Source organism: Homo sapiens, chromosome 15 (genome assembly GCF_000001405.40).
Source record: "Homo sapiens chromosome 15, GRCh38.p14 Primary Assembly".
Taxonomy (NCBI): Eukaryota; Metazoa; Chordata; class Mammalia; order Primates; family Hominidae; genus Homo; species Homo sapiens.
In genome coordinates, this window is record NC_000015.10 from 52605758 (window position 1) to 52629920 (window position 24163).

The following is a 24163-nucleotide window of genomic DNA, read 5'->3' on the forward strand; positions in this document are numbered from 1 at the left end:
TCTAGCAAACTAATACCTGATTATTTCAATTTGTGAAAAAACTACTATGGTAGTCCCCTCTTATTCTCAGGGGATATATTCCATGAACCCCAGTGGATGCCTGAAACCACGTGTAGTACAAAACAATATATATATTTTTTCCTATACATACCTATCCTAAAGTTTAATTTATAAATTAGGTACAATAAGAGATTAATGATAATAATAAAATACAATTATAATAATATGCCATAATAAAAGTTATGTGAATGTAGTCTTTCTCTCTTTCAAAGTATCTTATTGTACTGTACTCACCTATTTTGTGACCTGGTTGACCATGAGTAACTGAAACCATGGAAAGGAAACCGTGGATAAGGGGCGACTACTGTACTCACAGGAAAAATTCATATAATATTGTAAAATATAAAACTATGTCAATATTAAGAACCATTTTCAGATGATATAATTTGGTGGAACATGATACAGAAATATAAGAAACACTGTAAATTAAAAATTATATATAATGCAGTCACAGCACTATGTTTTTGACGTGATACAAGAAACAGGCTAATTCTTAAGGACTGGAGAAGTTTATACCCAAAGATCAGAAATTCATAAAAATTACATGAATAAAAATTATAAAAGACTATTCTGGGTCTTGGCTCTACCATTTATTAGCTTTGTGACCCTGGCAAGTTTTATAGTTTCCCTAGCTCAAGGTCCTCATTTGTAAACTGGAGTTAGTAAAAGCACCTACCTTCATATCAAAGTGAGAGGGATTAAGTAAGCCAACATGTGTAAAATATTCAGAAGGGGCACACAGTAAATTGTTTATTACATTTAAAACAGGTACATGAAAAAAATGAACCTTAGTGGGCTTGAAAAATATCACGGCCAGATTTAAGCCTCCCTATTAGATAACAGAAAAGATCATAAGAACCGAACATTCTTAAGGCCAGTGTAGGTTTTTGTGACAATTATACTTTTAGAAAATTGGAAACTACCATTTGATTAAACCCCATGTTAGAGCGAGATCTTCTGAAGAAAAATATAAACTGGAAACATGGCAAAATTTTAAAACTCTGTCCAGGAAAGCTAATTTGAGTGATAAAGAAGACAAACTTAGGTCATTTAGACTTGGATCAAGGTACTTCAGAAGAAATTTTCCATATAATTGAGATACTGCTTGGAAAAGTAAAGGAAAGTGAAGCCTAATGATTTTTAGAAATTAAAAGGTGGTTTGGTAGGAAATCAAATGAAATGAAAATAACTTAAAATATCTTTTATGTATATAGTACATTAAGGTCTACAAAATATTTATAAATTGTTTGATTATCACCACTCTAAGATAGGCAAAAGAGATTAATCATGAGTCTTGTAAAATTGAGGAAACAGGTTTTTATAAGTAATACGACTTATTTACGGTCACTTAAGGCCTAAACTATGAAGCCAGGACTAGAACTCAGGTGTTTTGACCAGTAACTTGGTGGTTTCCCTATAGACACTTTGAAAGTCATTAACTGACCAATGGCATAGCACAATGGGCACACCGCTAATATTGGGTCTGACCTGCTAACAAATAATACATTAAGCTAATACAAATTTGATTTCTGACTGTTTTTGCTCTAAGAATTGTTTATAAGTACTGAAATAAACAAAAAAGGGCAACAGGAGGAATTAATTCATTTTCTAAACAAGAGGAATGAACCAAGGACTTGTACAGTCCACAAATTTGTCCTTGATTATTGTGAGGTAGTAGAAAGGAGCCTGGATTAGGAGTCAAGAGACTGGGGTGGGGGCGCCAGTTGAATCACTAAGGACTTTGTACAGCTACTGGTATGTCATTCTCTTTGAGTCCTAGTTTCCTCATAACTGTCCTACCTGTCCCATATGGTGAAGTATCAAAAAGAACCAAGTACCCTATTAGGTTGGTGCAAAAGTAACTGAGGTTTGCCATTACTTTCAATGGCAAAAACTTCAACTACTTTTGCAGAAACCTAATATGTAATATAACTGAACGTTATATACAAGCAATATACAAAATCCAAGTAGTATTTTATAAATATTATATAGTATTCATTCTCTTGAAATTACAAATCAAATATTAAAAAGCTGAGTGCTTCTGTTTTGGTTGGTTGGTTTTTTTCTGTTTCTGTTTTTTTGAAACAGGGTCTCACTCTGTTGCCCACACTGGAATGCAGTGGCACAATCATAGTTCACTGCAACCTTCAACTCCTGGGCTCAAGTGATTCCCCCACCTCAGCCTCCCAAACAGTTGGGCCTACAGGCATGTACCACCATGCCTGGCCAATTTTTATTTATTTATTTTTTTTTGTAGAGACAGAGTCTCACTATGTTGCCCAGGCTAGTCTCCAACTCCTGAGCTCAAGTGATCCTTCTGCCTTGGCCTCCCAAAGTGTTGCAATTATAGGCTGTGAGCCATTGTGCCTGGCCTGGGTGCTTCTGACTAGAAGAAAAAGAGGCCTTTAAGATGGGGGAGCAGGGGGAGAACAGAGCTAAAAGACCTAAATAATAGACCTAACATGTCATGAAAACAATTACTGTCCTATTAACAGTTTTTTAAAAAGGTACCACTTCCTATTTTTTAAACAGCATGATCTTTATTTCCTCCATTTACTTAGCATTTGTTCTTAGGAGAGTGGGTTATTTGCAAGGATGTTAATACTAGTTCTGTAGGTTTATTATTCTATCAGACTGTGTGTCCTATAGATAATGGAACCTTGGGCCTTTATAACCAGATCTCCTGTGAACAAAATTTAAACCATAACAAATATTTGAGACTTACATTTGACATATTAGATGTTACTTACCAATACCTCTGTATTTTTTGGTTGCTCACATGTAGACAAACAGTCTTTTATACTTCTTCTCTGAGAATAGTTTTGGGATTTTTCATTAGTTGGATCTTCTTGCTTATCTTGTTCATTTTTTAATTGGTCTGACTTTTTACATTTGAAACCTTCATTATCTTTATTGAGATAATTCTCTATGCTATTAAGTTGAGTATTTTGCTCACATGTCTTAGGCCTTTTTGAGTCTTTATTTGAGGACATGCTTTCATATTTGTTCAAATATTCAGACATTTCCAACACAGTAACTTTTATTTTTGAGTCATTTTTTTTGGAATCATCAGACTGAAGATTGCCAAAGAATTTTGGATTATAGTTCTCATTTATTATTTTTTCCTTATACTTATTTGTACAAATCTGTTTGTCAATAGTGGTGCAATTTGAATACTGTTTATCAATTCCATTGCTCATTTCTTGCTCCTTGAATCTGCTTGTCAAATCTAAGTTATTTTCTTTGTGCTGAGACAAAATTGAGGAAGTTGATAAACTAGAACTTTTGTTCTGTGTCTCCTGATACGTACTTTGGATGATTTCACTAGGATTGTTCTGACACTGATTTCTTGTTTGATGTTTCAAAGAACACTTTTCTTTACTATTATTTTTAAAAGAAGTAAAACATTTATTAGGTACTAAGTTTTTCCCATCACTGATGTCTCCTAACAAGGAACATTTTGTGTGAGAAATGGAAACTGAGGACTCATCCTTATTTTTCTTCAACAAATTTTTGTCTTCATATGAACTCCTAAACACTTTAGATGCAACCGAACTGGAGTCATGCATGTTGAATGACTGCCGGGGGATATGTGATGCTGTTGGATCAATGTGCTCCAAGTGTTGAGCAATCCTTGCAATAACATCTTGCCGCTCCTGGAGTAAAGAGCCTATCAAAGGATTAGTCTCTCCAACAGGCATATGAGAATAAAAGTCATTAGAAATACAAGTTTCACTTCGAGGAGTTTCTGGTTTTAGTCGAATTTTCCCCTCATTGGTGTCTTCTGGGGAACTAAACTCTGGACTACCAAAAGTCATGGAGAAAGCTTCTTTACCTTTTCCCACGTTCTCATTTTCTTGTGAAACCCGGAAAAGTTTTGAATGGAGTGAACTAGACTCTTGAGTATTAAATGGACGTCCAGAAACATGTGAAGTGCTTGGATCACAATGAATCAAATGTTGGGCAATTCTTGCAATGATTTCTTGCCGCTCCTGAATTAAAGAGCCTATTAAAGGGTTAGTCTCACCAGCTGACTGCCAGAAACTCTGGCGGTTAGAGATACTGGAATCAACCATTGAAAATGATTTTAAAGTTCTCACTGATGTTTCTTGTGATTTTATATCACCTATACCACTAAAGCCTAGAATATTGGCTTGAGATGTCCCATGGTCAGATTTACTGCCAGTGCCTGGATATAGTTTGATATTTTTGACAGCTGCAGTATATTCTGGACTTGGGCCACTTTTTGCATGTAACACACTTTCAGGTGCCATGGTCCAAGTTTGTTTGCTACACAGACGCTGTGAACTGTTTGTACCACATTGTTCTGCTTCATTTGGGTTATGGTGCTGATGAGTTTTAAGTTTATGTTGTTGAATTCTTTTCTCATAAAGGCCAATATTAGTGTGAATACTGCACGTCAAAACTGGATAATTAGATTGTCTGGGCAAGGACTGAACACTGACTTTCAAGGCAACATTGTGAGAAACATTGGGAACAGGAAACACATGCTCAATTGGAGTCTGTGAAAAATTCCACTGTAGGTCTACATCAGCAGCACTGATTCTAGAATCACACAGAAAAATACTGTATTATTGGATTATAAAGGTTAGATCCTTATTATTGTATATTATTTTAAATGTAAAGCAGTCATACACTTATTTTTGTTTGCGTTAATTACCACTGAGGTTTACTTTTAGCCACTTTACCATGCATATAATTCTGATAAAACCAATGTAAGTGATATAATAGCTTATGCTTGGAAGAGATGATCTTTTTAAGAACACCAGATCACTTAAGCATTAAAGCTCAAGAATATTATAACTTAAAAATATTTGTTAAAACAGAAAAAAGGACTTTGTAATTGCTAGCACATAAATGGATTCAGCTAATTCCATTGTGCAAGGTGATTAAGAGACACCCTATCTCATGGCCATCTGCCTAAAAAGCCAGTTAGCTGTTTAGCAGCCTATATGTTTACATTATCCAAGATGCCAAAAATTAAGTCAAACATAAAAATTCAGCAGCTCAGAAAACTTTTCTACTTTATAATAGCAGCATTAAGTCCATTGGTTCTCTAAAGTAAGCTTAAAAGTTCTCTTGATATTATTCATACCAAATTTAATACAACAAACAAAATTCATATTGAGTCAATCCAAATCTCTCTAACTTGTTTTGAAAAACCTCAGTAAATTTTATCCACTTACATTTAGAATTGCAGGAAATAATCTATTTAAAAGGTAAAATGCCATTCGGTTGCTAACCAAGGTGGCTGAATACGCACTGTCCTTTTTTTTTGGCCCTAGACATACCTGTAGAGAATATTTCGTGGAATAGCACCATGAGAAACACTCAGCCATGCACTTAACTGAGAAAAAAACACAAATGAGCGGACAGCCAACAGAAGCGTCTTCTCTTCAATAAATCGGTCACCATTCCTAAGGAAGTAACAAAGCATAATTTAAATGTAGGCAAGTACAAAATGACTGAATTTTAGAATGGCAGAAGCTGAGATCCATAAACTTATCACTCAGGATTTGTGCTTTGAAGAGCATAGGAATACACTTACGATGTCACTTGAAGTCACAATTACTAAATGCAAGTACTATATTTACTCATTTTAGTGCCAAATATAAATACTATCTCAATTTTATTACATAGAGGAATTCAAAGACATGATACATTAAAATAATTTATAAGAAGTAATGGAAAACTTGATTTACCAAGAACAACTTTGAACTACGTTCAACAACTTACTGTCGAGGAACTGGCTCCAAGATCCATCTTTCTAATAATAATGCATCTTGCTTAATCGCAGGATCATTTAGATCAATTCCCTCTGTGGTGGGCCCATCATCGCTGTAGCAGCAGTCTGGTAGTAGCATCATTTCCACCATGATTGGAAGGTTATTCTTCCACAACAATGTGACCTCAGACCTAGTTCGTCTGGCTTGGCGGCACTTAGAGAAAATGAATATAAGCAAAATGTCTCAAAAACCCACCTAATTTTGTGTTTAAAATAGAAAATTATCATTGTAAAGTAGACATCTGTGTGAGAAATGAGTCAGCTATTGCAGAGCTTTGCTCAGAATTGGCTATCTAGGTTTCCTCATTTAATAACGGATCTATGCTTAGTGAGCTCTAGAGTGCAAGGATTAGTAATGAACATTTATTTTATTTTTTTTGCGACTGAGACTTGCTCTGTCGCCCAGGCTGGAGGGCAGTGGTGCAGTCTCGGCTCACTGCAACCTCTGCCTCCTAGGTTCAAGCGATTCTCCTGCCTCAGCCTCTCAAGTAGCTGGGATTACAGGTGCCCGCCAGCACGCCAGACTAATTTTTATACTTTTAGTAGAGACAGGGCTTCTCCATGTTGGCCAGGCTGATCTCAAACTCCTAACCTCAGGTGATCTGCCCACCTTGGCCTCACAAAGTGCTGGGATTACAGGAATGAGCCACAGTGCCCCTGCTGTATTGAACATTTATAATGCAAATTTTCTTGAGGAGTGTATCTTTGCTCTACCTTGTGGAAAAAGAACTGCTACATCCAATGTCTGACAGGCCTCTGAGTTGGCCCAGCCTTGCCTACTTTATTAATTTCATCATTTCACAGGAAAGATTACTTCTTAAATCCGAACACCAAAATATTAAAAACTCATTTTCATTAAACGCTCAAAATAAACAAGATCTTTTTTTTTTTTTTTTTTGAGATGGAGTCTCACTCTTGTCTCCCAGGCTGGAGTGTAATGGCACCATCTTGGCTCACTGCAACCTCTGCCTCCTGGGTTCAAGCGAATCTCCTGCCTCAGCCTCCCGAGTAGCTGAGATTACAGGCACCCACCACCACACCCAGCGAAGTTTTGTATTTTTAGTAGAGATGAGGTTTCACTGTGTTGGCCAGGCTGGTCTTGAACTCCTGACCTCGTGATGCACCCTCCTCAGCTTCCCAAAATGCTGGGATTACAGGCGTGAACCACTGCGCCCAGCCTCAAAATAGACACGATTTTTAGAGTTTACAATTTTGGATCACATTTGAGAAACTAATAAGTGGGAGAAAAATTCTTAAAGCAAATTATATGCTACTACACCAAAATATTTTGAACAATGTTACACAAAAACATTAACAAAAAATATCTTCCCATTTAAAAAAAAAAAGGAATACAAAAGGGAAATTGGTTAATGCAGGGAAAATAATCATAACAACATCAATTTACCAAATGAATAACAACACAAAGTGGATGAGCCAGGGCTGAGATTCTCAAAATAAAGCAGACGGGGCGTCCTGGCTCATGCCTGTAATCCCAGCACTTTGGGAGGCTGAGGAGGGCGGATCATGAGGTCAGGAGTTCAAGACCAGTCTGGCCAATATGACAAAACACCGCCTCTACTAAAAATACAAAAATTAGCCTGGTGTGGTGGCACGCACCTGTAGTCCTAGCTACTCAGGAGGCTGAGACAGAAGAATTGCTTGAACCCGGGAGGTGGAGGTTGCAGTGAGCCAAGATCGCGCCACTGCACTCCAGCCTGGGCAACAGAGCGAGACTCCGTCTCAAATATATAAATAAATAAAGTAAAATCCAACAGCAGAGATAGTCTTAAATCTAGCTTATGAGACAGCAGGTATGAAATTGGGTGCCCACTTCCCCACTGATCAGCAGAGTTACCTGCAATGCCTTCAAGAGCCTCATTTGAGAGCCAAGGTTATTAGCTATGGTCCAGGATTTGGATTTTTTCCCTTTATGATTATGATCAATTTTACATTGAAATATGACAATTATAACTGTAATAAAATAAAGGTGATGATGAACATAAACTAGTTTATATAAAAGATACAAAGCATTCAACACAAGATTCTCACCTGGGCCAGCTTGTCACTACATTCATGTTTGGTAGTTACTGGGTAACAAGACTGTGCTGGAGGGCAATGAAAGCTTTCTGTTCGACCTTTTACAGAACATTCAGGTGTTCGTCCTTCTGTTATCAGCAAGGCCAAAGAGACCAAGAACTCCTCTGCATCATATTCAAAATATTCATCCAGAGTATCTGATATAAAAAAGGGGCAAAGGGTCCTCAATTTAATGTACTCTTAGTAAGAACTCATCTGGTCTGCCTAAAATAACTAATGTCACATTACACATTATTCATTTAACATAGAGTGAAAATAATAAAAATGAGAATCAAAATATACTAAACTTTTGATTCACAAACTACAGAAGTGAGGAGATGATGGATAATTCCAAATTCTAGTTGAACTGGTATATTAATTATAATTGTAATATAATTAATAATAATAATTACTATTATTTTTGAAACAGAGTTTCATTCTTTTTGTCCAGGCTGGAGTGCAATGGCGCAATCTCGGCTCACTGCAACCTCCGCCTCCTGGGTTCAAGCGATTCTCCTGCCTCAGCCTCCCAAGTAGCTGGGATTACAGGCATGTGCCACCACGCATGGCTATTTTTTGTATTTTTAGTAGAGAAGGGGTTTTGCCATGTTGGTCAGGCTGGTCTCGAACTCCTGACCTCCGGTGATCCACCCGCCTCGGCCTCCCAATGTGCTGGGATTACAGGCATGAGCCACTGAGCCTGGCCTATAATTACATTTTTGGGTCAGGTGTGGTAGCTTACTTTTCTAATTAAAAAGTGACACATTTTCTGAGAAATTTATAAAATTCAGAGAGTAAGACAAAAACAACTCATTATTCAGAGATATCTATTGTTAACTTTATAGCCTATAATAATTATATTTTCGGGCCGGGCGTGGTGGCTCATGCCTGTAATCCCAGCACTTTGGGAGGCCGAGGTGGGCAGATCACCTGAGGTCGGGAATTTGAGACAAGCCTTACCAACATGGTGAAACCCAGTCTCTACTAAAAATACAAAAATCAGCTGGGTGTGGTGGCGCATGTCTGTAATCTCAGCTACTCAGGAGGCTGAGGCAGGAGAATCTCTTGAACACGGGAGATGGAGGTTGCGGTGAGCCAAGATCACCCCATTGCACTCCAGCCTGGGCGACAGAGCAAGACTTTGTCTCAAAAAAAAAAAATTAATATTTTTGGATGTCAGGTACAATAGTTTTTGCACACAAATCATCACTAATAGCTAAAAGGTTAAAATGTCTTATGTCATATTTTTAGCTAAGATGTTCTATTGCTATTATTTACATATTAGAAAAAGATACAGATCCAACTGCATGTTTCTCTTTCTCTCCCCCTCCCTTTACTAGTTCCTTAGTCTCACAGCACTAATTCCGTGACATGAAAATTCATAGTCATGGGGTCCTCTGTGCTTTTACTATATAGTAATAACAATTTCTAAGGAAGAAATGCTATTATCCAGCAGCGGCACAAAGCCTGATTTGCAATATGTGGAGTGTGGTATTCTGGTTATTACAGTTTCAAACAATCTAATCTGTGGATTTTTTTCACGTAGTTATGGTAATTTAAATATTTCTCATGAGTGCTCTTAGTTTTTTAACAGCTAATTTTAAAAACTGTTAACTTGCTATACAAGTTGAACATTCATACACAAAAGTGCACACACTATTCAATTTGTTGTACAATTTGTTGTACAAAAAGTTGCTCTTATCTCGGCCAATCAAGCAACAAATATTTCAAGTGCCTATTATACCTCAGGTAATAGGAGGACACAGAGTCGTATGCACATAGTTCCTAGTTTTGAAACCTTTACAATTCAAAGAATTTTAAAAACAAACAGAACCATGCAGCATGGAATGGGAAGAGAGAAGGTGCAATTTGAGCAGAGATCTCATGTAGAGAAAAGTATGCAAAAAGAAAGACTGGAGCCAGCTTATGAATAGCTTTGAAGGGTATGATGAAGAATGCTCTTTTCCAGCTTCAGGAAGGCTTATCAGGAAAGGAAGAAGCCTTGGGAGTAAACTTTATTAAACTGGTATTTTAAGACCATTCAGAAAAGTTTCTCTAAAGTGACCATTTGGAACATATAAAATGACAGCTGACATTTGGTAACTTATCACTGTCAGTTCTAAGTACCTTCTACACGTCAACTGATTTAATCCTCAGAACAGCTCTAGAAGGTGAGGACTATTACTTCTATTTTTCAGATAAATGAAGCATGGAGAGGTTAAGTAATTTGCCCAAGATCATCCAGCTAGGAAGTAGCAAAGTTGAATTTTGAAGCTGGACAGTTTAGCTCCAGAACCTGGACTCTAGTACTATTCCCAGTCAATTCATCCAGTTTATCATACATCCCCAGGTTAAAAAATACATGGATCATACACTTTAAACATTCTCAGAGTAGTAGACACAACAACCAAATACATATTATAACGTACTGTGATAACCACTCGTACAGACGTTAGCAGTCTATGTTATAAGAGCACAGACAGGTGGCCAGTAGTTGAGTAGGGGTATGTGGTGGAAGACAGTGGTGATGAAAGGTTCTAAGGGGTATGTGGTGAAGACAGTGGTGAGGAAGGGTTCTACGGTAGTGACGTGTTGCTTGAGACAAGTCACTGAATGTTTTCTTCTGTTAAATGAAAGTAACATCTACCCAGTTGTCTGAAAGAACTTTAGGAAGATCACATAGAGCAAGATTTTAACAGTGGCCATTGCCAAGAGTGAACACCGGCAGCCTTCTTTAAGTTGTGTGACCCCTGGTTGGAAGTGGTGGTTCATGCCTGTAATCCTAGCATTTTGGGAGGCTGAGGCAAGAGAATCCATTGAGCCCAGGAGTTCAAGACCAGCCTGGGCAATATAGGGAGACCCTGTCTTTATTTACATGTATATATAAAAGTGTGACCCTGTTCCCCAACCCCAACAAAGCCAATTGATTCAAAGTGGGGACCTGACCCATCCTGGGTCAGTCTATTTCCCAGGACACTGGAGTTAGGATTCAGAGATGTTGGTTTGTCCCCGTCTGCTATGACTTAAACTGAGGCAATGTACACCCAGGAGCTATGCAATGACCATAGACTGCCATGGGCATGGAACAGCAAAGAGAATGAAATAAGCTATATAGTGAATGAGAGAAACAAGAGACTTTGTAGACATAGAAAGCCAGAAAAAGTAGTTGCCTGATTCCTGACAATGTTCCAGTCCCTCATAAACCTACTGAGACAGAACTCTGTATCCCTAGCAATCAATTCCTTTAAGCTTGTTGAGTGAATTGTTTGTAATCAAAAGCACCTTGACTAGTAACTAAAGTATATTGTTATGAAATTAGAGAAGACAATCATCAAAAATAAAAAAAATTGCTAGTCTATAAATGAGAATTATTGAGTGATGGGCTGAATTGAAATTCATATGTTGAAGCCTTAACTGGCACTGTGACTCTATTTGGAAATAAGGCTTTTAGGAGGTAATTATAGTTAAATGAGGTCATAAGGGTGGTAACGCATGTAGCTTTAAAAGAAGAGAAAGTGATCTCCTCTCTCCCTGCTTTCCCCCACCTCCCCCAGGCCACATGTGTCTCCTTCTTGCTTTTTTTCTCTTCAAGGAAAGGCCACATGAGCACACAGGGAGAAGGCAGCTGTCTGTGAGCCAGGAAGAGAGCTCTCACCAGGACCTGAACATGCTGGCCCCTTGATCTTGGACTTCCAGCCTTCAGAACTGTGAGAAAATAAATTTCCATTGTTTAAGCCACCCAAATCTATGGTATTTTATGGCAGCCTGAGCACACTAAAACATCGGGGAAAATAAAACTTTCCAAAAATGTGACTATTTCAAAATTTAAATAATGATTTTGAAATTAAAAAGTAACACATTTAGTGAGAAATTTATAAAATTCAGAGAGTAAGACAAAAATAACTCATTTTTCAGAGATACCTATTGTTAATTTTATAGCCTTATTTTAAGCATGTATATAACTTTTAAAACAAACTTAGCTTCATACAATGTAGCTTTTACTCTTATTTTTCACATTATATAGTCTCTACTTTTGAATAAATAAATTTTATTTAAATATTTATTTATTAATAATTTATTATATACAAATAATTTATATAATTTATTACTAATTTATATATAATAATAAAAGATGTAAAATTAACTTGTAAGAGAGCCCATAATTCTTTTAAATCCAAATCCACATAATTGTAACACATAATTGACTGACTACCTCTGCATTATCACCTTGGAATCAACCATGACCCATCTGCAGGCCTCTAACCAGAGCATTAATGTATATGATCTCCCCAAATACCGTGTACCAAAGCCTGGCTAAAAACTCATCATTCCCCTCATCAATTTTTCCTTTTTTTTTGAGATGGAGTCTCACTCTGTCGCCCAGGCTGGAGCGCAGTGACACAATCTCAGCTCACTGCAAGCTCTGCCTCCCAGGTTCACGCCATTCTCCTGCCTCAGCCTCCTGAGTAGCTGGGGCTACAGGCACCTACCACCACGTCTGGCTAATTTTTTTGTATTTTTAGTAGAGACGGGGTTTCACCGTGTTAGCCAGCATGGTCTCGATCTCCTTACTTCGTGATCCACCTGCCTCGGCCTCCCAAAGGGCTGGGATTACAGGTGTGTGCCACTGCGCCTGGCCCAATTTTTCTTCACTCTTAACAAGGATGTCTCTTAAAACTACTTTTTAAACACTACCACTGTACATATCCTAAAGAGCACCTGATCATTTCTGCAGCTGACAAAATTATGCAAAACTAACAGGTTAGATTAGGAAAGGACATACAAAGTGGGGAAGAGGGTGGGGAAAGTGCAATGAGAGAGTGAAAGAAAGAGGTATTACCAGGACTCTATGACTTGTTATCCTTATGCCTGCAAAACTGTAATACATCTACAAAGCTCCTAGCAGGGAGTGGCTAACTCTTGCAGTAGGAATTATCAAGTTTAAAGTGATAAAAACTGAACTGTTAAAAAAAGTATTTTCTTCTTCTTCTTCTTCTTTTTTAGAGACAGGGTCTTGCTTTGTTGCCCAGGTTGGAGTGCAGTGGCGTGATCATAGCTCACTTTAACCTCAAACTCCTGGCCTCAAGCAGTTCTCCCACCTTGGCCTCCCAGAGTGCTGGGATTACAGGTGTGAGCCACTGCCCCAAGCCACTTTTAAATAATGTAACATTGGACTAAAATTTGGTTGCTTTGGTCATTGTCTCTGTGGGAGGTAAACTAAACAAACTTCAAAACCATGACTGGAGTTTGCAATCCCTCAGATGACTTACTGAACTTAGTGTGTTAAATGTTTAAATGAAAAATTTGAAACAAAAGATTAGAGATGATACTAGTTATCTGTTAATTACCAATGTAACTATTACATAAGTATTGAAAGGAATACTATGGATTATACAATGGTATTTTGAAACACATAAAATATTACCTAAGTACAAGTGATATGTGGTGACAACTTTTAGAAATTTGTCAAGAATGTCTAATTTTAATAAACGAGAATACTAAATCATAGTAGTCCTCAGAACAGTTACATTGTTATAGATTGTACTTGAAAATTGGCAGTAAAAAATTTTTTTAAAGAAAAGTTACATCATTAAAATTTTTATAATGTCAACCTCTAAACACAACAGCAAAGTTTACTGAAGAATATGACTAATTTTTGGGAAATATGTCAGGCTAAAGAGAATTCAATAGATCTAACTTGATATTTTGAGGACGTAGCTCACACTAGAAATAAAGTTTGATTTTAGAGCATCTGAAAAAGTCTACTTTTACAAGAAAAAAAACACAAAAAATGTTTCAAATCTAGACAAATATGAACTGCTAGGCCTTCTTACCAGTTACATGTTAGAATAAATAAATTATTTGGCCAGGTGTGGTGGCTCACTCCTGTAGCTCACTCCTGTAGGTGGATCAACTTGAGGTCAGGGGTTCGAGACCAGCCTGACCAATATGGTGAAACCCTGTCTCTACTAAAAATACAAAAATCAGCCAGGATGGTGGTGCATGCTTGTAATCCCAGCTACTTGGGAGGCTGAGATGGGAGATCACTTGAACCCAGGAGGTGTAGGTTGCAGTGAACTGAGATTGCACCACTGCACTCCAGCCTGGGTGACAGAGAGACTGTCTTAAAAAAAAAAGAAAAGAAAAGAAAAGAAAAGAAAAATAAATTATTTGACATAAAATATAATATTGAAGAGAACAGAAAGGATGTTATAAATTTTCACAGGCTATGAAGGACAGATCACTGGACACCGGTGATTAACCAATGAAAACACAGTTCTGGGGGTCCCTACCTAAGACCTCAATGAGGATTGTGCTTGCACCAGGTTGTCTAGGAGCTATGATCAGACTGACTGCTTTTGCATGCTCTTCTGGTTCTGGAGTGTAGCAGCTTCTTAAAATTCCCCACCTGTTCTGTCCATCGAGAAAAGTGAACAACTTAGCCATTGGGAAAACTTTGAACAACTGGGGTGATCCGTAGACAAAATAGACTAAGAAGTAAATTCTTCATTGCTAGAGGTGTTCAAGCAAAGTTTGATAAACACTTGCCAGGGTGTGGCTGAAGAGATTTATGTAAGCGAGAGGTTCAATTAGGCTTGTTCTCAGGTTTTTTCCAACTCTGAGAATTTATTCTTTGTTCTCCAGAAAAACCACAGGAGAGAGACCAGAACCACTAACTCCTTGAGAGACTCTAACCAGGAGCCCAGCTGAAGCACTACTCATTATACACACACATTTCTTGATTTAGGAAAAAAGCAAACAAAGCAGGATGGCTCAAATCTACTTCAATGGGAGTGGAAGAAGAGTGTCTTTCCCATTGCTAGGCTGTTATATATGCTGTTTATTTCTAAAGCCTGCCAGAGAAGGAGAAGGAGTCTAGGCCTCTTATGCCATGGATTAACATGGAAGAGGCGTGGGAACAACTTGGGGAATTGCTACTAAGAAAGTTTATCTAAAAATAATGTCCAGCCAGGTGCAGTGGCTTATGCCTGTAATCCCAGCATATTGGGAGGCTGAGGCAGGCTGATTGCTTGAGCTCTGGAATTCAAACCAGCCTGGGCAACGTGGCAAAACCTCATCTCTACAAAAATTAGCCGGTGTGGTGGCATGTGCCTGCAGTCCCAGCTACTTGGAAGGCAGAGGAAGGAGGATCACTTGAGCCTGGAGGTTGAGGCTGCGGTGAGCTGGGATTGTGACACCGCACTCCAACCTGGGCAACAGAGTGAGACTTTGTCTCAAAAAAATAAAATAAAAATAAAAAGTGTCCTTTTTACTTCATGATGCGCAATCGAGTATTGTGAATAAAAATTCTCCTTCTATGAATTTATCCCCAGGAAATAACAGGACAAGTACACCTGGCCAAATGTTCAAGGATGTTTATGAAAACATTTATACCAACTTAAAAAAATTGGCATCAACCTAAATATTCAACAATATGAGACTGGTTAAATATACTGTGGTCCAGTTAGATCTAAAATAATGACATACCTACTTTTGACAAGGAAACATATCTACAATATAAGTAAAACCCTAATGTTTAATAACAATGTTATGATTATGTATCTGTGGAATCACAAGCATATATAAGCACAGACATACATACAACAAAATATTATCAGTCCCATAAAGCAAACACATAATCCCACATACTAAATTGTAAATAAACCACTATTCTCTGACTAGCATAAGTAACTCCTATTAACTGAAAAATAATATGTAATAAAAGCAGTCCCAGTGTCATATATTTTTAATTAATCAGAGTTATTACTTTTTGTAACCTCTACTAATATGGTTTGGCTGTGTCCCCACCCAAATCCCACTTTGAATTGTAATAATCCCCACGTGTCATGGGAGGGTCCCAGTGGGAGGTAATTGAACCATGGGGGTGGGTTTTTCCATTCTGTTCTTGTGAGAGTGAGTAAGTCTCATTAAGTCTCATGAGATCTGATGGTTTTATAAAGCGGAGTTCCCCTGCATACACTCTCTCTTGCTTGCTGCCACTTAAGATGTGCCTTTCACCTTCTGCCATGATTGTGAGGCCTCTCTAGCCATGTGGAACTGTGAGTCCATCAAACCTCTTTTTCTTTATAAATTACCCAGTCTTGGGTATGTCTTTACTAGCAGCATGAGAATACACTAACATACTTACTTTTTCTTTTTTTTTTTTTGAGACACAGTCTTGTTCTATCGCTCAGGCTGCAGTGCAATGACATGATCTCGACTCACTGCAACCTCTGCCTATGGGGTTCAAGCAATTCTCTTGCTTCAGCGTCCTGAGTAGGGATCACAGGTGCGCTCCACCATGTCCAGCTAATTTTTGTATTTTTAGTAGAGATGGGGTTTCACTATATTGGCCAGGGTGGTCTCGAACTCCTGACCTCAAGTGATTTACCAACCTCGGCCTCCCAAAGTGCTGGATTACAGGCATGAGCCACTGCGCCTGGCCTACTATTTCTTAAAGTAGGTCATAGTTTGGTTACTTTATACTGGCATTTGTGAAGACACACACAGGTAACAGTATACTGGTTCTGGTATTGAGAAATTGGAACTTAGTATCTGAAACACTTTTTCTTTTTAAAAACAAATGTTTAAAAAATTAGGTAAGAACTGGAATCTCAGTGAGATTCCATATGAGAAACACATGGTAATGAGTTGAGGCATCTGAGAATGGATATTAAGAATTAGTGCAAGAGGTTATGCTCAAAGAATGGGACTCTCAGTTAACATAACCACTATGTAGACTTCATTTATTTAACAAATACCATACAACTACCAGGTTCCAGGCACTTTCGTAGACACTGGGGCTTGGAGCTTATATTGTTGTGATGACACAGAAAAACAAAAACAAATTAATAAACTATCAGATGCTAAGTACTATGCCATAATTATAAAAAGGATGATGTGATATGAGAATGATTATGGCAATGCTTTATATCAGGTGGTTAAGGAGGGCTTTTTGAAGCAGGTAACATTTCAGCTGAGATCTGAATGACAAGGAGCTAGCCATTCAAAAATTAGGGGAAAGAGCATTCTGAGCAGTGTCAAAGGTAGGAACGAATGGGTCAAATCCCAGGAACTAGAAGGTGAATGAGGCTGAAATTGCAGTGGGGAGAGAGGGAAAGCAGCAAGAGATGGACGTTTAGTCAGGCATGGTGGCTCACACCCGTAATCCCAACACTTTGGGAAACCAAGATGGGTGGATTGCTTAAGCCCAGGAGTTTGAGACCAGCCTGGGCAACACAGTGAGACACTGTCCCTATTATAAATAAATAAATAAATAAATAAATAAATAAATAAATAAATAAATAAATAAAGCCAGGTGTGTAACATGTGCCTGTGGTTACAGCTACTTGGGAGGCTGAGGCAGCAGGACTGCTTGAGCCCAGGAGTTCAAGGTTGCAGTGAACTATGATTGCACGACTGTACTCCCACCTGGGCAACAGAGTGAGACTCCGTGTCAAAAAAAAAAGGTTTAGAAAGGTGGTCAGGGACCAGATCATATAGGATTTCGAAAATAGGACAGAAAGTTTAGATTTTATTCTAAATGGAATGGGGAGCCATTAGAGGGTTTTAACTAGAGAAATGCATTTACATTTTAAAATGTACATTTAAAAATGATCACCCTGGCTGCTATGTGGATAAAAGAATAGGGGGAAAGAATGAAAGTAGCTATACTAATTAGGAGGTTATTATAGTTGTCCAGGGTTGTAGGTATAGTTTTGGGGATCGCACGCATTTGGATAGTATTTAGAATCAAGAGTTACCTAGAGGAATATGTAGATAGAGGAGAGCAGGGAACTCATGACAGAGCCCTGGGGGACTCCAACAATTAGAAGACGACGAACAGCAAAAGGAGCTGGATTACAGGCTGGTATAATGGAAGCCTTGAGAGAATAGGAAGTTTCCAGGAGTGCATGGTCAATGGTCTCAAACACTGGTAAGGTTTAATAAAATATAAACAAAGAAGTGACCATTGAATTTGACAATAAGGAAGTCATTGGTGACCTTGAAAATAGTGAGCTCAGTAGATGGTGATGATGGAAGATAAGACAAATGTGACATATACTGTCAATTATTCTGAAGAGTATAAACGATAAATGCAAAAGTCTACTTACTTAGTCTTGTCTTAACACAATGGGCATTCATGTAATACAACAGCCCTTTCTAGAAAAGTATTAAATATGCAATATCATCACTCACAGAGAATTATTTCCAAATCTCAAAATGAGACTAAAAGAAGTTTTAACTGCTTCTCTTCTAAGTCTATGGCACAAATGGTAGGAGATTCTCCTGTATAATCCTGAAATTACTAAATTTTAATTTGTTTTAAATTTTCCTTGGAATTAAACTCTTGCTTTTTATCCCCAAAACAGTTACCTAGTTAGGTTCTTATTATTTTATACCTGAATTACTACAAGTTTCCTAGCTATTGTCTAGGACTCTAGGCATCTCCTTATCCATCTTGAATCCTAATACAGATTAATCTTCCCAAAAAGCCATTCCATTACAATCCTCTTGAGCTTAAACGTTTTTGTTTTTGTTTTTGTTTTTAACCTATCAAGCATGACTTCCTCCTCTCCTTTCCACCAACCCAAAGCTTTCTGGACTGCCAATCTTTTCCATGAGAAAGCCCATTCCTAACTCCTTTCCACACTGATCTTTGACTTACTTTGTTCTCTTCCCCAGAATTTACAGAAGCCATCTAGGCTATAAATGGTTACTGTAGGGTGTTAGTGTACCAACCAAAGGTCATGAATTTCACCTCCTCATGGGTAAATTTCACTCTGTTCCATGGACAGACTGTACTGTTAACTTCAGCCAAACTTCTCCAAAACTTAGGGCATTAATCACAAATGTGACCATGAAAAAGGAAAGGACAGATCAATGCAAATGAACCACCTCAGGAAAAATTCAGCACGATTTGACAGCTCTATAGTTATATCAACCTATTCATTTCTTTAGAATATTCTTAACATGCTATGGATGTACATCTACTAATGGGTTAAATTCCACAATCACTGAAATATTTTTGGCTTCTCATTTATGTGTTCCAGTCTCAAAGGAATATGTGTACCTGCTTATTTTTTTTTTTTTTTGAGACGGAGTCTTGTTCTGTCACCCAGGCTGGAGTGTGGTGGTGCGATCCCGGCTCACTGAAACCTCTGCCTCCTGGGTTCAAGTGATTTTCCTGCCTCAGCCTCCAGAGTAGCTGGGATTACAGGCACTTGCCACCACGCCCAGCTAATTTTTTGTATTTTTAGTAGAGATGGGGTTTTACCATGTTGGTCAGGCTGGTCTCAAACTCCTAACTTCAAGTGATCCACCCGTCTTGGCCTCCCAAAGTGCTCGAATTACAGGTATGAGCCACTGTGCCTGGCCATGTGTACCTGTTTTAAGTGAGAATTGTAAAGAATCTTAGAAATCATCCTAACCTAACCTACTTTACTTCCAGATAAGGAAAATAAGGTACAAAGACATCAACTTCCTTGCTTAAATAATATACTAGAAACCAGGCAATAGCAAACTAGAATTCAAGTTTCTCAATACCTAGTACAAGTCATTTTATATACCATGAAAAGTCTTCAAGCAGAGAATAAGAGGCAAAGTTGACATTAGTGACAAGTGTGAAAAAGAGTGACCACGGCTATAAGTGAAAGCAATTTTATGTGTACACTATTATTTTATTATTAGTTATACATAAATATTCTCATCTACAGAACAGTATTTTCTAATATGAAAATACTCTTTATTCTTGGTCTTGTTAATCCACAACAAAACTTAAACTATTTTATTCCTCAACACTCTATTATGAAAAAAGACAAGTGATCAACTTATCAACTATAAGTAAAAAATCTATCACAGACTGACTTTTAAAAGCAATTTTCTGAACTTGAGTGTGGTTTGTTTAAATTCAACCAAGTATCTCTGCTCTGCATCTACACAATAAACACCAAAGTTCAAAATTATGACTAAAACACTGTAATATCATAAGGTGCCATCTTAAAAAAAAGTTACGTTTTTATAGTCATCTAGCTCTTTGAAAACTGGCTATTAAATTGTCATGTAAAACCCAAACATTCAATTAAACAAAGATGATCCCCATCAACCTGAGTTGTGAATTGTTTTATCAAGTTAGTCCTCATGAAGCAGCATAGAGCAGTAGTAAAGGGCTCAACTCTGAAGTCTGTCAACCAGCTCTGCTACTTGCTAGTTGTTTGGATTTGTACAAGTTACACAACATCTCTTTCCTCAGTATTTCACCTAATTAAATGGGGATAATAGTATCAACTTTCAGAGGGCAGTTACAGGGACTGAGTTATTATCTATGTAACTTTTAGAATGCTGCATGGCTCATAGTGTATGCCATATAAGTGTTAAATTTAAAATAAAACTAAATGCTATGATATACATCTTTCCCCATTAGGATTCTCTTTCCCCACAGAATCCTAAATTTGTAAAATCATTTGCCCAAGGCCACACACTTTATCAGTAAGTGGAGGATCATCTTGAAACCCATTGGTACTACATGAATTCGGACAGTTACTCCTTTTGTTCCACATGTCTCTCCTTTTTAAAGCTCTCAATTTAAGTACTACGGGAAAAGTCTAGATCATGTGGTTCCAGAAACAACAAGAGGATATCCAACTTGGAAACATTATCCTTATAATGCATGGCAAAACTGTACAGTTACATCTGGTTATAAATAAAGTGTTTCAATGTTCTCCTTTGTGCATTAAAAAACACCTAGAGTTAATTAAAACTAAACTTGATCCCTTTATCATCAAAGAGAAATAAGCAGCTTCTGTGGGAGAAAAGATAAGGGAAAGCTGAAAAAAAAAAAAAGAGAGCGAGAGAATGGCCAAGAGTTGGTTTTTTTGTGGAATTCAGGATATATTTTCATTAATTTACAGGTGAGGAAATTGGACTTCAGAGAGGTAAAGTGACTTGCTCAGGCATACACAGCAACATAATGGTAAAGGGGGGCCTTAAACCTACGTCTCTTGTGTAGGGAAAATGTCAGAAATTTGGGGATTTATTTCCAAATCTCATCCAGTGTGCCAAACTCTACCCCTGTTATTAGTTCAATTCCAATTGTGGCTCAGGGAAGAATTATGGACAGAGTTCAGAGAGAACATGAAGCCTTAGATATTTGTCAGTTTACTGTCAAGGTCATTCTTGTTGCCTATTCTGTAACAGTTATTCAGCCTCTTGAGGTTTGATTCATGTCCTTACTGTAAAACATGTTGGTATCTAATTCCCAATCCCAGTTTTCCTATGAATTCTAACTAGGTTTTCCAGTTCACTTTTCTGCTTTCCTGCCGGAATGCTCTTTGTTTCTCTGCCCATGCAACCCCTCTGACCCCTATTTTTGTCAATGAGACATAACATTAGTTGTGTTTTCTCAATGTCAGCCATATTTGATAGACTCCTCTCTGCCAGAGCCACCCAAATTCTAAACCTGATACTTTCAAAGTTGCAAAAGAAGGGCTGTGAATGAGTCAGAAAATACCTAAGAGGGAAGGGAAGGAGAAGGGTAGACAATTTAAGAGTACCCTGTCACAAACTGCACATTTTTCAATGAAGAAACTGAAAATCTGCCAACTTCTAATCGTTGATTTCAGTTAAATTCCAATTAATACCTTATTATAATGCCCTGTTTGCCTCTAACTCAACTATAAACTCTATTAGTACAGGGGCCAGGTCTAAATATTCATCATTTTATTACCAGTGCCTAGGACGCTGCTTGACACATAGCAAGTACTCAATAAATATATAAGCAAAATGAAAGCAGGCATAAAAGTGTAGTGATTTAGCTTATTGAAAGGCACTAGCACTTGTAGATCAACTTTGATCTATGTTGAAGTATGACCAACTGAAGAATTCACATATTACAAGACAGGAAAACTCAGATTATCAGCCCTACATTAAGGGAGAAAAAATGTCAGACTGAAGGTGGTCAGAACATCAGGCAATGCTTATGCATTTTTTTTTTTGCTTTTGCTTTTATTTTACTATGATTTTTAAAAACAATTTAACTTATTCACAATGATTTTAATTAAGAGTTGTTAACACACACAGGACTGAAATGATTACATTCGTGTATGTTCCTGGGCCTCAGCCACCAGTATCTTAAGAGAATTTATAATGCCACTTAATAGCCAATTCTGCCATCTGATTGTGTCTTCAACAAAATGCTAAAAGTAGGTCCCTCTCAATCTAATGTAATTTTGAGAGGCAGATTTCATCACACTAAATCTCACAGAAGCCAAAGGAAAAGCTTTGGCTAATTCTCTAATCGCTAATTCTCGATTGTGAATGATTAGGACAACTAGAATCACCAATGGAAATGAAGGAAAGAAAGGCAGGCTTAGTGACTGATGAGACATGTGGGAATTTGGAATTTAATTCTCTCCAGTGCTCTAAAATGTCTCTTAGATATATCTAATGCTGTTCTTCATGTCTGCAGACATTGTATCAGGCCCACACACACTCTTAAGACGATTATGAACAGAATCAATATAAAATATTCAGTCAATGATTTTAGATATTTTAAGACTAATAGTATTTTATAAAGCCCTTTGAGCTTCTTGGAACAACAAATCTAAGTAATGTTAGAATCCAAGTATTTCTAGATAAAAGACTTAAAAAGAACCTAAGAGAATTCTGGAAACACAGAAGATGCTCCTCTGATATGAGCCATGCCAGGGCTGTGTACTCAGAACTCAGGCCACACTGATTTTCTGTGACGTTCTCTAAGTCAATTACAGCTAAGTAATAAAATGGGTACTAATACCTTTCTCACTTTTGTAAATACTGCAAAATGTAAAACAGTAATTACCTGTCAATCTGAATTTGTTACCATAACTATTTACTACAGTAATGTAAAAACTACAATGTGATATAGTTTTTTAAAAACACTATCCTAGATACAGCAAAACTTTTAAAAAGGCATATTTTTAATGTTATTTAAACTCCTCAAATGATATTATGAATAGATTAAAAGCTTACATGACAAAGAAATGAATATGTCATGTGATTAGTTTTTATGTATCTTCCATTAAAATAATTTTAACTGAAGTGCCATGAAAGTATAACACAAAACAAAAACTCTATTTTAATAATAGTACAATTGATGACTTCATTAAAGAAATTTCCATCTATTTTATGCAACTACTTAATTTTTCACTCAATTGTTAACAAATATATTTTCTAGACCACAAAAATCTGAAGCTAAGGAAGGTAAATCTTCTCCTTTATACAATCCTGAAGGGCCATTCTCTTCCCAGAAGACTAAAATTAGCTGTCATAACAAACATCTTGCCCTCGCCAATTCAAATTCTTAATTACAGAAAGCCTTCAATCTATAAGTGTCCATATTCCCTTCCTGGCTGCTTAATAATCCAAACATAGTCATTTTTTGTGGAGTTAAGAGTTTTTTTGGATTGCTTTTAACTAAAGGTTTTTTAAAAAATTCAATATCACGTTAGAGGTCATATAAAGACGTTTTAAGAGCAGTTTTAAGTTTACAGCAAAACTGAGTGGCAAGTAGAGATTATACCCCCTCCCCAATACCTGTGTGGCCTCCTCGATTATGAACAACCTCAAAAGAGTGGTATATTTGTTACACTTGATGAACCTACACTGACACATCATAATCACTCAAAGTCCATAGTTTATCTTGGGGTTCACTCAGGATGTCATACATTTTCTGGGTTTGGAAAAATGTTAATGACATGTATCCACCATGAGAGTATCATACGGAATCCTTTCATGCCCTAAAAATCCTCAGTGGAGGTAAGGGTAGTTAAAAAAAAAAAAAAAGGCCAGGCATCGTGGCTCATGCCTGTAATCCCAGCACTTTGGCAGGCTGAGGAGGGCACATCATGAGCTCAGGAGTTCGAGACTAGCCTGGCCAACATGGTGAAATCCTGTCTCTACTAAAAATACAAAAATTATCTGGGCCTGATGGCGGGCACCTGTAATCTCTGCTACTCGAGAGGCTGAGGCAGCAGAATCGCTTGAACCCGGGAGGCAGAGGTTGCAGTGAGCTGAGATTGTGCCACTGCACTCCAGCCTGGGCAACAGAGCAAGACTCCATCTAAAAAAAATTAAAAAATAAAAAAAAAGAAAAGACTAGAAGGATAAGTAATTAAGAATTGAAATCAAAATGAAGACAGAATTGGGGAAGCAGCAGGGAGAAACAAAACAAATGAAGTAGAA

The 24163-nt window shown here is 37.4% G+C and overlaps 1 protein-coding gene across 32 annotated transcripts in view, besides 1 other annotated feature; it reads right to left on the reverse strand.

The window, feature by feature from the left end:
* ATOSA (atos homolog A) overlaps positions 1-24163 on the reverse strand; it is a 128495-nt gene that overhangs the window by 24437 nt on the left and 79895 nt on the right. For 26 of the 32 annotated variants that reach the window (NR_169538.1, NR_169544.1, NR_169545.1 and 23 more), the window contains 4 exons: positions 7916-8100; positions 5818-6020; positions 5373-5498; positions 2811-4626 (listed from right to left, as the gene is read on the reverse strand). Coding sequence is in view for 21 of the 32 variants with exons in the window: in NM_001385021.1 (NP_001371950.1) it covers positions 2811-4626; positions 5373-5498; positions 5818-6020; positions 7916-8100 (2330 nt within the window). In the remaining 11 variants the exon portion in view is untranslated. Of the gene's footprint in view, positions 1-294; positions 325-2810; positions 4648-5372; positions 5499-5817; positions 6021-7915; positions 8101-24163 lie in introns of all 32 variants that reach the window. The other 6 variants (NR_169543.1, NM_001385022.1, NM_001385023.1 and 3 more) reach the window with 4 other exon arrangements.
* Positions 6341-6840: an enhancer, noted in NCBI's record as "H3K27ac hESC enhancer chr15:52904295-52904794 (GRCh37/hg19 assembly coordinates)". NCBI's record gives its function as "activates a minimal SCP1, AML or CMV promoter by ChIP-STARR-seq in primed H9 embryonic stem cells {active_cell/tissue: H9 hESC(primed)}" and the evidence as "EXISTENCE:reporter gene assay evidence [ECO:0000049][PMID:30033119]".